We start from the raw sequence: 16,287 nt of genomic DNA, 5'->3' as shown, positions 1-16,287 counted from the left end.
CTAACTGGAGTATTACCCACAGATCACTTGCTGAAAGGCTAGAATGAAATACACCTACATACTACAGTTCTTTCCAATTGAGGAGATACTAGTCCAATGACTGGATATTTACCAAATTATGACAAAAAGCTATTTTTGAGACATTAGAAGGGTCATGTAATAAAAATAACATAACTATAATGTATTAATATATTGAGGCCTATGATGTTTTCATAGGTAACTTAGAAATATTCTCCATACATATTAAGGCTTATTCTCTAGAAGTTACACACGTAACTTAATTTGAGTTACACAGTTAAATCACGTAAAAAGGCTGTACTTTTTAAAGCCTGTAATTAGAACTAAACTCTCCCCCGTATTTAATATAAATTGATTAGGTTTTACCACATACACCTAATCTTAACTGTAACAGCATTATTTTTACAAGGCTTAGTATGTACAGTAACAATAAAAACTACTACATTCTAAGACATTTATCAGAACTGCAGAATGACAATGAAAGCCAATTCCCACTTTTAAAAGCATTCAATTTATCTATATTATATAAAAGAACCTCTTAAATTTTTTAAGTTACTCGAATAATCACTATATTTCAAATTTACAGTCAATTAGCTGCCAAATTTGTCCAAGTACCCACAAAAGTCAAACAAGCAAATAAGACTATGCATGACCTTTCTTGGTATTTGTCCCCCAAATTCTAACCAACGAATAAGACTTCACTGATGTACATGTGGAACTCAAAAGCAATCACTATTCTTATGAAAATGAACAGGAATACTAAGGATACATTCCAGACAATAAAATAAAATTCAAGAAAACCCTGCTTTTAAAAACACAAAAGAAGAAATATTAAAAAGTCATATAAATTTATTACATTATTGGAAACTGAAATTGAGTGTTTTTTTTTTTTTTTGAGACGGAGTCTCACTCTGTCGCCAGGCTGGAGTGCAGTGGCACAATCTCAGCTCACTGCAACCTCTGCCTCCCGGGTTCAAGCAATTCTCCTGCCTCAGCCTCCCGAGTAGCTGGGACTACAGGCACATGCCACCAGGCCCAGCTAACTTTTGTATCTTTAGTAGAGGCGGGGTTTCACTATGTTGCCCAGGATGGTCTCGATCTCTTGACCTCATGATCCGCCCGCCTCGGCCTCCCATAGTGCTAGGATTACAGGCATGAGCCACCACGCCCAGCCTAGTGTTCCTTTTATCCCCAATCCTTCCTAAGACTGGGAGGAGTATAAGGAAAAAAACATGCATTCTCCAGGTTAAATGTAAATTTTTTAATGTATATGTCTGTTTGGAAGTCAAAGGCTTAAATACTTTTTCAGTTAGAGATATGTTGAACTTTGTACAAATTTTATGTCTATTTTGTCTTGAAAAGTAAATCTGAAAAGTTTCCAAAAGAAATGTTAAATTTGTAATCAGGAGGCAAGAAAAACACTGCAGACATACCTTGACTTAGATGTGGTGGTTATCCAAAAAGTGGTGTACTGCTTTTAACAGTGTAACGCACAAGAGGGAATGCTTACTTGGTCACTTAGCCAGTATCTTTGGGAAGAGACTAATCTTCCACTAAAATAAATAATCACCCCCAAAATGAACTCCTGTATAAATACAATTTTCCACACATCAAATTTTATTCAAGAAAATGAAGACTGGGACACCATATTAGAATGACAGAACAGGAGACACTAGAACTCAGAACTACATTTGTCTAGTTCATAATTTTATAGATAAATGGAGACGCCCAAAAGTTAAAGTTGCTCAAGGTCACTAGTTAATTGTCAGAAAAAAAAATAGAACATTATATTTAATGTATTTTGGAAAGTAAATATTGATTTTTCCTCATTTTTATGAAAGTTACGAAATTGTTTTCCAATCCTTTAAGGTAATTTAAATAGAACTGCATAAAAACTATACTTGCGGAGATAATACTAGCATTGCTTTTGAAATAATCATCTCAGCAACATGGAAAGGAGAAACAGATAGAAAGTGACAAGCTTAGTCAAAGTTACCATCTTTTCCCTCAGGCAAACCCATGCAGGAGCAAAATGCAAACTGGCATAATCCTCTACAATTGGCATAAGGGGTGTAAGAGAAAATAGATGTGTGTGGGCACACACGTGTGCTGTGATTGTGTGCATGTGTGTTTGTGTATGAATATACACATAAGTGTGACTGTAACTGGAAACTGGGATTTTAAAAAAATACACAAGAGGATCATTACAACATATGTACATGTTTACACATGTTTACAGAAGGAAAATATGTAGTTACATGGCAGCCCCATCGAAATACATCCAGGTACAGGTATACCTCAGAGATATCGACAGGTTTGACTCCCAACCACTGCAATAAAGTGTATATCGCAATAAAACAAGTCACATAAACTTTTTGGATTCCCAGTGCATACAAAAGTTATGTTTACACTAGACTGTAGTCTATTAAGTGTGCAATATCATTGTATCTTAAAAAATGTATGATCTTAATTTAAAAATAATTTATTGCTAAAAAAATTATTGATTGTCTAGGCCTTCAGCAAGTCCTATCTTTTTGCTGGCGAAGGGTCTCGCCTTGATGTTAATGATTGTGAACCCATTAGGATAATGGATGATGAAGGTTGGGGTGGCTGTGGCAATTTCTTAAAATTAGACAATGAAGTTTACCACACTGATGGATTCTTTCTTTCATGGAAGATTTCTCTGTAGCATGCAATGCTGTTTGATAGCATTTTACCCACAGTAGAACTTTAAAAACTGGAGTCAGTCCTCTCAAACCCTACAGTTTCTTTATCAACTAAGTGTATATAATATTCTAAACCCTTTGTCATTCCAACAATGTTCATAGCAGCTTCACCAGTAGTATATTTCACCTCAAGAAACCACTTTGTTCATCCATATAAGCAACTCCTCATCCGTTCAAGTTTTATCATGAGATTTCAGCAATGTAGTCACATATTCAGGCTCCACTTCTAATTCTAGTTCTCTTGCTAGTTCCACCTCATCTGTAGTGACTTCCCCCACTTAAGTCTTGAGCCTTTCAAAGTCATCCATGATAGTTGGAATCAACTTCTCCCAAACTCCTATTAATGTTGATATTTTGGCCTCCTCTAATGAATCACAAATGTTCTTAATGGCATCTAGAATGATTAATCCTTTCCAGAAAGTTTTCAATTTACTTTGCCAGGTCCATCAAAGGAATCACTATCTATGGCAGCTACAGCCTTACACAATATATTTCCTAAATAATAAAGCTTGAAAGTCTTAATTAATCCTTGATCCATGAGCTGCAGAATAAATGTTGTATTAGCAGGCATGAAAACAACCTTCATCTCCTTGTACGTCTCCATCAGAGCTCCTGGGTGAGCAGATGCCTTGTCAATGAGCAGTAACATTTTGAAAGGCATCTTTTTTCTGAGTAGGACTCAACAGCAGACTCAAAATATTCAATAAACCATGCTGTAAACAGATGTTCTGTCATTTAAAACCCCAAAATTTTAGGCTCTGTTTTCTATTTGTAGAGCACACACAGAGCACATTTAGCATCCTTAAGAACCCAAGGATTTTCAGAATCGTCAATGGGCACTGGCTTCCACTTAAAGTCACCAGATGCATCAGCCCCTAACAAGAGAGTCAGCCTGTCCTTTGAAGCTTTGAAGCCAGGCATTGACTTCTCCCCTCTAGCTATGAAACTCTTAGATGGCATCCTCTTCTAACAGGCTGTTTCACCTACAACAAAAATCTGTTGTTTAGTGTAGCCACCTTCATCAATGATCTCAGCTAGATCTTATGGATAACCTGCTACAGCTTCTCTATCAGCACTTGCTGCTTCACCTCACACTTTTATGTTATGGAGATAGCTTCTTTCTAAACCTTATGAACTAACCTCTGCTGGCCTCCAACTTTTCTTCTGCAGCTTCTTCACTTCTCTCAGCATTCACAGAATTGAAGAGAGTGAGGGACTTACTCTGGATTAGGCTTTGGCTTTAGAGAATGTGGTGGCTGGTTTGATCTGCCATCCAGACCACTCAAACTTCTCCATATCAGCAATAAGGCTGTTAAGCCTTCCTGTCACTCATGTGTTCACTACAGCAGGTAGCACTGTTAATTTCCTTCAAGAACTTTTCCTTTGCATTCACAACTTCACCTACTGGCACAAAAGGCCTAGCTTTTGGCCAGTCTCAGCTTTTAACATGCCTTCCTCACTAGGATTAATCATTTCTAGCTTTTGATTTAAAGTGAGAGACATGTGACTCTTCCTTTCATTGAACATTTGTAGGGTTATTAATTGTTGTGTCTCAGGGAATAGGGAAGCCTAAGGAAAGGAAGAGAGACTGAGGGAATAACTGATTGGTGGAACAATCAGAACACACACAACATTTATCAACTAAGTTTGCCATCTTATATTGGCATGGCTCGTAGCGCCCAAAACAATTACAATAGTAGCATCAAAGATCACTGATCACAGATCATCATAACAAATATAACAATAATGAAAAAGTTTCAAATATAACAAGAATTACCAAAACGTGACACAGAGACACAAGGTGAGCACATGCTGTTGAAAAAATTGTGCCAATAGATTCATTCAACAGAGTTGCCACAAACTTTCAATTTGTAAAAAATGCAAATTTGTGAATTTACAACAAAATGAAGTGCAAGGAGGTATGCCTGTACACAAAAATGGAATTAAACCTCAAAATTTAGTTCCTTTAAAATGGATCTAAGAGTCCTTTTCAAAATCAACTGTATTTTTTTGTCTACCATGTTTATTCTGATCATTAGCCTAAATCACCACAATTTACAGGTTCTACTTATTTCTTCTTGGTCAAACACTGAAAGGCTACTTTAGAAATGTCTTAAATTCCATCTCATCTAAAGATTCTTCTCCAAAGCACATGCATTAGTCAGAGCCTTTAAATGATCACCTAGCTTACATTTATAAACTCTTTTATAGCTAATCCTTATGCAGACACCTACACTGTACATCGTAAGCATGAAACTACTAATGCAACTCCCCCCAACCAATTTAATCCACTTAGACCATCGTCACTACCCTCTAGACATCTTTTAGTTTTGTCCCTAATTAGACCATTCAAGGAATAATACCAATTTTGGTCACCAATTTAAAACACAGTGTTACATAAAGATCATTGCTTCTGAATTGAGTCAGACTTCAATTCTAAACTCAGCGTCACCTAGTACTGTCTTTGCAAACCTGTGCTTGTTACTTAACCTTTGGAGTAAGTAAAAATAATAGCTAAAGTAATTTATAAAATAGTAATAATAACCTCAGGACAGAAAATAGCTTTCATCTTGTATACTAATTCTGATGGATTGGGAGTAGCTGCTGGAGTGGGGGTGGAGGGTAGGGTTGCCAAGGATTCTGAAACCAAGTCCACAACTGGCAGGAAAAAAGATGTCTTAATAAAACAGATGTCTGCTGCAGACAAGAGAGGGAGAAGCAGTGCTATTCATGATTGAGAAAATGAATATATGTTGCCTGGCCCATGGCAAGCACCCAAAAAAGGTTAATTCCCTTTGCATTCTTCACCAAGTAGAACATAAAATTCAAAGAAATTCAGGCTCTGGAGATGTTTTCTTCTCTTCTACAGTTATCATTGAATTTCAAGCATTCTCCCATGTAAATATTCCAAAATAAATGTTTAACTTTCTCATACTTCTTAACCTGTCCTCTTTTTTGAATTTTTTCTTTAAAAAAGAGAGGGAAAAAAAAAACAAAAAACTTCAGGCCTCCAACCCTCTGGGAGTTATCCTCCCAAATTGGAATTCCTTTACTTTTTGCTGTTGCTATGCAATTACTGTAGAATTAAAATAGTCTGAAAAAGTCAAGTCCTTTCTATACTTTTACAAACTCATTTCATCTATGATATTTCTACTAAATAGCAGCCTACACTTTGAAACACATACTACCCCTCCAGCATCACATAAAATAAACTAGATCTTATTGACAACAATATCTCAGAGCACTTTATAATTTACAAAGCATGCTAAATATGGTATCTCATTTGATCCACATAAGTTCCTATGAATTTATTCAATAGTCTTTTCTAAGAGGTATAAATTTTATCTTATAAAATTAAATTACTGTTCACAAATTAATCCTTTTTTCCAACTTTTGAGCTACTCTTTAATTCAATCCGTTTAGTCAATTACGTTTTTGACTGCCAGATGCTCATTAACGTAACACAATAAAACCTTAAGTATGTGCTCACAAAAAATTCTACTTAAGTGAATTTTCTAGTCAACTGACAATAAAACAAAACCTTTTTTTTACTTCTGCACCAGATCATTTTTTAAAGCTACTAATATGCATTACTGCATTAAGTTCAGAATACTGAAGATAATTTAATATTCATTAAAACTTCTATCTCATGATGACTCAAAATAATATCTTGAATACCAATTCTAATATAGTCCTAAAAATGTGAAAATAAGAAATTGTTCTGAATATATGTGTGGCTCTTAGAAATTTGTTCATAAACTCCTAATAACAGCTTCCTGAGTTGTCACTATTTCCCCCTTCTAAAAAAATGGTAAATCAAGGGTTCTAATTTGATAGGTTCCAATTTAGCTATTACTATATATACATACAAAATATGCATATAATCATTTTACTCAAAAGCGTGAAATGTTTTATATATAGTAGTTTGTTCATTCTTACATTATTCATATGTAAGCACTTTCATATTAGGTAGTAATCGACTAGGATTCAGAGGAAAAGAATAAAAGAATAAAGTCAGCTAAATGGAAATAAAATTCATGAAAACAATCTATTATACTACCACACATATACTATGTGCGAACATAATATTTTCAAATAAACTGATAATGCAAATAGTATTACTCAACAAATAACAAATTGTATAAATTAAGCCAGTATATGGTTCTCTCTGCTTTCCCCATTGGCATGCACTGCTGCATTCTCTTTTTTTTTTTTTTTTTTTTTTTTTTTTTGAGATTGAATCTCGCTCTGTTGTCCAGGCTGAAGTGCAGTGGCACGATCTTGACTCACTGCTCAGTCTCCCGGGTTCCCGGGTTTAGGTGATTCTCCTGCCTCAGCCTCCCCAGTAGCTGGGACTACAGGTATGCGCCACTACACCCAGCTAAGTTTTGTATTTTTAGTAGAGACAAGGTTTCACCATGTTGGCCAGGCTGGTCTCAAAACTCCTGACTTCAACTGATCTGCCCGCCTCGGCCTACCAAAGTACACTGCTGCATTCTAATACAACCTTAAAACAACAAAAAATAAAATACCACTGTGTCTCTAATGTTCGCTAAGTGTTTCTAATTTTGTGTAGTCGGTTAGAAAAGTAACCTTGAATAAACTGTAAATTATTCAAAAGTAAATCTATTGGGTTTTTTAACTGAATATTTCAAATGGCTTTTGAAAGTCTAAATTTTGCCTTAGAAATCTTAGAGCCAAAAGAAACCTTAAAGAACATCTCAGTATTCTTCTCATTATTTTAAAAATACAATATATGTATGTAGCAAACTATAAGGTACATTATTAATAGAAGTAAATGCACTATATACACACACACACATATACAAACACACACATAGATTCTCACTAGTTTAACCTTATTCTACATTTTTAAAAAATGTTACCCAGAGAAGTTAAGTAAAGTTAATACAGCAACGTAACAAGTGTTTATTTTTTACTTTGGCAAAACAGTTTGCAGAGTCTTCTGATACCCTTATGGAAGAGAAAGAAAAATGTGGACCGGATGAAGGAAGGAAGTTAGATCATTAAGGACCAGCCTTATCTTGAGGTTTTAAGAAACTCAGATTTGCATTTTGCAATATGAAGATAACTAGCACTAACTTGGAAAATGAATTGGAAGGAAACTTAACACTGGAAATGAGACTACTTAGGAAATTAATGCAAGTCTCTTAATGAGCGATAAGGGCATAAACTAAAGTGAAGACACCAAGCAGCACAAATTGATTTGAATTGTAGACTTGGCAGGACTTAGTTATCAACAGATGTGGGAGGTGAACTATAATGCAAGGTTGTTGTCCAGGTTTTTAACTCAGATTCCTGGTTACTTAAAAATGCCTCTCAGATGGTAAATCTGCACAACAGAGCGGGGGGGGGGGGGTAAATTTGCATGGAGGCTGGATTTGGTGGCTGTGATGACAACTTTGGGACATTCTGAATATCCTAAGCTTAACATTTTGGATTGCCGAGGACATCCATGTGAAAGTATCTAGCTACTATTTGGAAATATAAGTCAGGAAAATTCTGTGTTAGAAATACGCTTCTGGACAATGGCATAATTTATGATGACGATGTTCAGAATTCCACGAAACAATGCATAGAAACTTGGCTTGAGATCATACAAAATACAATTGGCCCCCCATATCCACAGGTTCAGCATCTATGGATTTAACTAACCGTGCATGGAAAACGTAGTTAGGCCTACAGTGGTTGTATGTGTACTGAATATGTACAGACTTTTTTTCTTGTCATTATTCCCTAAAGAACTATTTACATAGCATTTACATTATAGTAGGTATTACAAGTAGACTGGAGATGATTTAAAGTATATGGGAGGATGTGCATAAGTTATATGCAAATATTATGCCATATGATATAAAGAACTTGATCATTCTTAAATTTTAGTGTCTCCAGGGGACCTGGAACCAATCTCCCCCACGGTTACCAAGGGACAACTGTATTCAGGTACTATACAAAACCTAAGGGGTACAAAAATGAATAAGACATTAACCTCTAGAAATTTACAGTCGGACAGGAGAAACAAATTTGTAAATAAGTGATTACTAAATTGTTCAATGCGTGCAATTACGGCAATGTGTATAAAGCAGACAATGGCAACAGGGTCAAGAATGGAAGCCACTAGAACATTAGGTCAGGTAAATTAAGACAAAACTGAGAAATATGTAATCAAGAGAGGAGGAAATTTCAAATACAACAAAAAAGTGTCAACGCTATCAGATTAACAGAGGCCAACACTAGAAGAATTAATATGCTGGATAGCAATTACATCACTTCATAGGCTAGGCTACAACAATGATTCCCAACCTGGTATTGCCAGATCACTGGGCCAACAGTAAGGATGTGTAACTATTGTCAATATTTCAAAATGCCTTTCAAAAATTGTAACTTTGCCTAATATAGCCTAACTTCTTTACTGCTGACTGGAATTATGTTAGCTCCATGTGGTAACTCTATCATCTTATATTTGTCTCTTTTTTTGATTAATAGTTACACATCTGACTGATAAAAGGAGGAAATGAATGATTACTTAGTAGAAATAATTTTGTGTTATAAAATAGGTTTACACAGAGAAGAAAATGAAAACAATCCTTAGTACTTAAAAGTCTAGACTCAAGGGCTAAAACACTGGGCCATAGCTAATAAGAGTATGCTTAACAGATATAAACGATCTGTTCAGTTCAAAACATTGGTTAGCTAAGCAAGGGAGTAGTCAAGCTAAAAGAGACTGTGGTTTTAGTTGATTACAGCCTCGCTCTGTGCCAACATGAAGCTCCAAAAAAACCTATTCTAATGTTAAGCTATATTAATAGGATTACACATAAGTGAAGGAGTGGTATAACAGTTTTGATGTATGCTATTCAACAGTATAACTGGAATGAAATGGCCCACTACTATATTCCAAATTTTAAAACATACAACTACAGATCATCCAGAGGAGGGAAGTGGATATTTTATCTAGAAAACACTCTAGAGCTGTCTTCAAATGGCAGAAGGGATATCATATATAGAGAGAATAGTGGGCTTTTAATTTATTGCTACAGAAAGCAAAACTAGGATGGGTAGACAGACGTTACTGAATGGCAGATATTCGGCCAAATACAAAGACCTTATGAATATAAGAATTACTGCCAAAAAACAGTGTTAGACCCATCATCATTGAATGTTTTTATACAAAGGAAAGATGATCCATCTCTTAGCATTCACACTACACTGTAATTGCATGTTTAAAATTATCTGTCTCTCCGAATAGAACATGAACTCTTTGAGAGAAGGGTTATAGTCTTACTTATCTTTTTGGCCCCATGGAATCTAGCAATGAACATTGTATACAGCTATTGTACAAAAAAAAAAAAGGTCTACTGAATTAATAGGTGAATGAAGAAACTGAATGTTTTAAGAAACACTTTACTGAAAAGATGAGACGCCCTTTTGGGCCCCTAAATTTTTAAGATGTCCTTAGTACAGAGTCTCATGCAGAACTCATTCTACTTCATAACACAGCCTAGGAAGGGTGTGCATAATGAATCTATTTTACTATGTGATAAGGAGCACAGTTAGGCTAATTCGAACTGCCATCTTTATCTGAAGTGCTAATATTAATTACAGTTTCTTTGCCAAACTAGAAAAGATATAATTCCTGATCTTTGTATTATGAAAACTTAAGCAAATGCTTCAGTATGAAAATATTTATGAGAGTATCTCAAACACAGAAGAATCTCTAGAATGTGAGGATTTAAAAAATCTTATTCTTCAAACATGTTAAGCAGTAGGCAGAGTAAAATGCCATCAGGTGACATGGAAAATGAATCAGTAACACTTAACTGCCAGTAGAAAGAAAGGAAGAACTAAGAAAAAACGGAAAAAACTGAAAAGATTTTAAGAAATTACAAGTTATAGCATCATATCCGAATGGCATCTGCCTGAAGGATTTTCCTCATGCTCTGCCTAAACCTTTCTACTTTCACGTGGTGTGGTAGTGTGGTAGTGTGGTAGAGTTTCACGGCTTCACAAGAAACTCTACCACAAACTAGTTGGGAAAATAAAGTACACAACATAAATCAGTGGGTTTGGTTTCTTGATTTTTAACCTTTGGTAAAAGGACAGTGAGGGAAACAAATGTTGAAAGTACTGCTGCAGATAACAGGAACATCATAGATTATAGGTAGATCTTATTCCCCACCATTTTAACTCAAGCAGACATTTGAAACTGTCTGAATGTGTCTTGCATACAATAGGTACTCCCTCTCTTAAATAAATAAGCTACATGTAAACACACAGCTAACTCTACTTTGGAGTCCACATGATCCGACAAAAAGAAGTCCCCAGAGATGCATACTACCAGTGATTGATCACTTAGAAGGGAAACGCTTTAAAAAGTTTTACTTAGGAACACACTTTCAATGTAGAGAAATAATGATATAGCTATAGGTACCTTGCACAGCTGCACAGATGAATATACACACACAGGGAAAATTTACAAATTACTTTCACTGTTTGAGTTAATCTAAGAGACAGGGCCTGGAAGATGTAATCTTTCACATAAATATCCTAGACGTGTGAAATTAATTCTCACAATCTCTTCCTTAAAAACAAGGCAAAATATAGACACTTGGTCCCAGTTACATGTTTCTGGAACAAGAGAAAAATACACTTTAGTGTCAACTACCTTATCTAGGAACTTAATTTTTATTAAGCTGTTTTTCGAAATATGAGCATTGTGGCACTATAACACTTCATAGACTGGTATTTGCAGGATTCTAAGAATGTGTGCTTGTTGTAAAGACGTTATTTACTTCTTTTCATGGAGAAAAACAGTTTTGAGTGTTGGCGGGGAACAAAACCACTTGAGGAGGAAATTAACCTAACCCCAAATTTCCTGGACCCCCTACAACAGCAAACAGAAGGGGAACGGGCAGAGAGTGTAACCCAGCATCAGCCCGAGCGGGCACAGGGAAGGGTTAGGAATGGGACAAAAAACTGGACTCTCAGTTTGGCAGGAAGGTGGGTATTGCGGAAGGATGGTTTGCCGCGGCCGGGGAAAGAAAAGAAAGGGCAGCCTGAGCCCCCCGTGGCCCCTCGCTCCTCCCAGCCCGTCCCGTGGGGTCTGCAGGGCCTCACCCCGACCTCCACTCCGCGCGGCCGGCAGGAGGCGGCGGCCCGGACGCTGTACCTGCCCGCCAGCCCGCTTTGCCCCGCGTGCGGCCGCCGGGAGGCCGGCAAAACCACGAAGGCCGGGGCGAGCGAGCCAGTCGGGCCCGGCGTCCCAGCGGCGCCGCTCCGCCCACCCGCCTCCCGAGACGCGGCCAGGACCCCCGCGCGTCTTCAGCCGGCTCCAGACCACAGGAGGCGGCCCCGTCAGCGCCTCGGCCTGCCGGCGCACCTCCGAGCCCCCCGCCAGCTGGGTGGTCCCGGTCCTCGCTCCCCGCTGTCAGCCTCCACTTACCTTCAATCGCCATGATGCGCTCGCCATGGACCGCACCAACTGGATGGCGGGGGCAGCAGACGCGAGGGCTGGCGGAGGACGCGCTGAGTCCGCCAGCGAGAGGGGCGGGGCCCGGCCCGGAGTCGCCCGGCTGTGCGGCCGCGAGGGGCGCCGCGGGCGGGGCGAGGGAGGGGCCCCGAGCGCCGCGAGTGCGGGCCGCGGAAGAAATGGAACCTTCCCGGGGCCGCCGCTGGCACGTGACGCCACCCCGCCCCCACCCCAACCTACCCCACCCCACCCCACCGCCCCACCGCGCCTCGCGCCTCGATTCGAAACAGGTGCCCGGCCCGGAGAGCCACGGGCCCGCGCCCGAGACCCGCCCGAAGCGCGCCGAGCTCGTGTGGGGGCCCAAGCCCAAGCTTCCTGGCGCCGGGCGCCCTCCCGTCCGGTACTTGGAGCAAACGGTGTCCATGAAGGAGGCGAGTGGCAAATGATGTGGTCAGGACCATGGACAGGTCTCCTTGGTTGAAAAGGATTCCCACCCACTGACTCTCAGATTTGGTAATAGTAAGTCTGTTTTGGTTTCGTTTGGTTTTATTTTGTTTTGTTTTGCCCGAATCAGCCACATACTCGTCTCAGATCTCCGCTGTGGAGAAACAGCTAGTTGGCAAAAAGCAAAAAGGAGAGAGGAATCCTGAGCACAGCAGTGGTCTCTCTCTCTCTCTCTCTCTCTCTCTCTCACACACACACACACACACACACTCACTTCACCCCTTAGCCTCGCTCTTGATAAGCCTTGCTGCCACACAGAGCTTGGCTTACCTCTTGGAACTCTGAGTTGGAATTTGTCTACACATTGCAAACGCACATTTGAAGCCACACAAAAGTCAGGGTCAGACGGACGTTTTGACAAAGGACCTGGAAAGCATGTCACACGCAGGTTTTTAAAAATTTGTAAACCTGTGACCATTGTGAACAGTCCCAGGCCAACCCTGAGCACAACAACAATTGGCCACTTAGTTTTTACTTAAGATACTTGAACCGCTCAACCATTTACCCAACTCTCAACTTCATTTAGTAATTTGAGAACCTGGACAATCAACGGCATAAACAACATTGAGAAATAGGGAGTTTAGTGATTCTCTCTTGTGGAGGAAATGCTAATTCCTAGAGCAAAATAGCTATATTAGGGACTGAAACAAAGAAGAAAATATTTTACACTTATGTAAGTAAGGTTGGACTGTAAATCTAGAGCAGAAACTGTCTTCCATTGCTTTTATATAACCTCTCCCTCAGTCGCATTTTATGCTCAATAGACATTCATCCTTTACCATTTTCTTTAGTTCAGTGAGTATCTGTGAAGCCGGCACTGTGCTGAAAACTGGCTACAAGCAAGAATTGTTATTGAAGGATCAAAGAAAATACTGTTTTACTCAGGAAACATTAAAATGCCTATACTTTAGGAAAGCTCCATGAGAGAGTTTATGATGGACATCTAGAGGATTCGGGTAAAATGTTTAATGACATTTTCCCCAGGCAGCCTCCCTTAAAACAGTCTTGAACTCCAAGACATTGATCTGAACTTGACACCACAGTTGTAAGTTGTGGTTTCTGGCTAGTTCTGAGTAACCCAATTGTTCAAACTTTTAAAGAATTTCATATTGAAAGCCCGAAAAATGTATTCATCCTTTCCTCACCAATTACATAGTTACTAAGTAAATAACCAGATTATGTGAGTTTCCATAACCTAGATTAACATCGCTACTATTTGTCCAGGAGACTTATTTGTCCAGGAGACTCATGTGGATGAACTGGGGAAGAAGGAAGATAGTTCCTAGAAGGAGGTTGTTGGACAGAAAGAACTTAACTTATGCCTAGTGTTCCATTATTGGAACGCTAAGCACGCGGGAGTTGTTTACATCCTGCTGCTCAAGGTCATCGCCAAGGTCTGATTGCAAAAATTCTAAAAATTGCAACCTCAGGGATAAATGAGTTAAGTAGTAACTACAAAGGTACTGTACTGTCTAGACATCCACCTCTTGTCTACCTTCTAACTCTTTTGCAAGCACTTGCCTTTCATCGTACTTCCCTGCAGTTCCCTTACAGCAGAGCTATCCAAAAGAATTGTCCGCAACTATTAAAACACTCTGTATTTGTGCTGTCCAATACAGTGGCCCGTAGCCACCTGTGACTATTGAGCACTTTAAACGTAGGGAGTGCAACTGAGGAACTGAATTTTTAGCTTTATTTAATTTTATTCAGTTTAAAGTTTAAAAAGCCACTTGTGGCTATTGTCTGCCATATCAAACAGCATAGACTTAGAGCTACAGAAATGGCATGGTAGTGTTCAGCCAGGAACTAAGAAAGAAGATTATTTAATGAGCACTTGGTGAGATAAACTGTAATGTCTGTAGTGGGAAAAGAATAGCAGCAATTTCCCATGTTTGGCAATTCTATCTAATGACCTGACACTGTTAAGAAATATATCCATCATGCTGTGTGGAGGTAGTTAAAGATGGAGATGGAAAAAAATAACCAGAAATCAGAATAATTTTGTTTTCTCTTCCATTTCCTCCAGCAAATATTTTCCTCAAGAGTTGTCATTTACTCTACTATAGATAGCACAGTTATAACAGGGAAAAACTAACATGAAATATTCTAGAATTATTTTTGTTCACTTAGATCAAATGGTAGTTTTTTTCCTGCCACCTAAAGCTTTAGAAGTAACACAAGCTCTAGCAAAGAAAAGAAAGAAGTAAGCAAATAGCACGGACACTAATTTATTATCCTGTGCTTTCCTTCCATGGTATCTTCTAAGCGTTTCATTCAGACAGAAGGGCCAACTACACTTCCTTTTCCTCTGTAACTATGATATTATTCCTGTATAATCTGCTATAATTTTCTTATTGCTCACTGAAGTTATTGCTATTGGCTAGCTGCATAGAGCAGTACACAGAGGTTTTTCAAAAGAATAATAACACAGCACGATACTGGCCTGTCAGCTCGTAGGAGTGAACAGAACTTTTAAACATATAGACCAATTTAACACAAAATGATCAACAAGTACATGCTTAGTAGGATACAGGCTACTGTAACTAAGTGTTCTTATTCACAACAAAGAAGTTATTATTTTGTTCTAGGTAACAGTACTTGACTATATTTAAAACCTTTTTTCACAGCTGAGTGTTCCCATGATAATGACAAGTGACATTTATATAGTGACTTTCACTCAGAGGTCAAAAAGTGTGCCACACACCTTTTACATGACATAAATATGTCACCCACCAGTAAATACAGCCACCTATCATGTAGAAAGCGGAAGCAACTTTTAGAAGCCCTAAAGAATATATATATACAGGAAAGAAATTGAATTTTACACCTAGAATAAATTGAGTTAGATGAGAAAATGGTCTTCTGCTGCAAAAACATTATTCAACTCTTCTTGGTTTATATAATTGCAAATTTGGACAGGGTAATGATGTGTGGAATAGAGGAAGGAGAGTCAAAGCAAAAGATAATTTAGGATAATCTGGAAAAGAGATGATTAGGGCATCATTTAGAAAAAGGAGGTAAAATAATGGGCTTGATCAGACCAGAGAGTCTATGAGGGTCACTAAGATCTTTTATTGCTTACACTGTTCAAATACAATGCTGTCAAACATTGTTCTTTGTATAAAAATAGGTGCTCAATAAATTGTTGTTAAATGAATAAATTATAACAGGCTTGGTGTCATGTATCCTTTATAATTGTAGTTCTTAAACTCTGATGCATACATCTACACAAAAATTGGATAAAATAGCCATTGATGATTGTGATAAAGAGAAGCTAAAAATGGATTATTGAAAACTCTTTATGTAAAATAGTATTTCTCATTATCATCTTCCTAATCATCATTTCCTAATACAGAATTTCTCTTTGCTTAAGTATTTACTTACTGTTATGAAGGAAAGGGAAAAAACTTAATAGTTTAACATGGTATAACATGCCATAATCTGACAGAAAGTTTATTAGTGTTTTCTATTTTAACATGGAGCAATTTACTAAAGGAATTATGGAACATTTTTTAAGGATTCAGAAAGATAGACTATAAAATCAATTAT

General features: G+C 38.0%; 1 protein-coding gene across 8 annotated transcripts in view, besides 2 other annotated features; it reads right to left on the bottom strand.

Annotated features, from left to right (window-relative positions):
* The window catches only part of SYT14 (synaptotagmin 14), a 233,173-nt gene extending 220,905 nt beyond the window's left edge, over positions 1-12,268 (bottom strand). For all 8 annotated transcript variants that reach the window (NR_027459.3, NM_001397545.1, NM_001256006.3 and 5 more), the window contains exon 1: positions 12,208-12,268. Coding sequence is in view for 4 of the 8 variants with exons in the window: in NM_001146261.4 (NP_001139733.1) it covers positions 12,208-12,234 (27 nt within the window). In the remaining 4 variants the exon portion in view is untranslated. The remainder of the gene's footprint in view (positions 1-12,207) is intronic.
* Positions 12,527-12,821: a silencer, noted in NCBI's record as "tiled region #13960; HepG2 Repressive DNase unmatched - State 10:DNaseD, and K562 Repressive non-DNase unmatched - State 8:EnhW". NCBI's record gives its function as "represses a minimal TATA promoter and a strong SV40 promoter by Sharpr-MPRA in HepG2 and K562 cells {active_cell/tissue: HepG2 | K562}" and the evidence as "EXISTENCE:reporter gene assay evidence [ECO:0000049][PMID:27701403]".
* Positions 15,550-15,719: an enhancer, noted in NCBI's record as "experimental_2736 CRE fragment used in MPRA reporter constructs". NCBI's record gives its function as "activates a minimal promoter by MPRAs in K562 erythroleukemia cells, with activity observed for both the introgressed and non-introgressed 1:210108196 variant alleles {active_cell/tissue: K562}" and the evidence as "EXISTENCE:reporter gene assay evidence [ECO:0000049][PMID:34662402]".

The sequence above is a fragment of the Homo sapiens genome, chromosome 1, assembly GCF_000001405.40.
Source record: "Homo sapiens chromosome 1, GRCh38.p14 Primary Assembly".
NCBI lineage: Eukaryota > Metazoa > Chordata > Mammalia > Primates > Hominidae > Homo > Homo sapiens.
The sequence above is the reverse complement of the archived record's forward strand: the minus strand, read 5'-3'. Positions and strand labels throughout refer to the sequence as shown.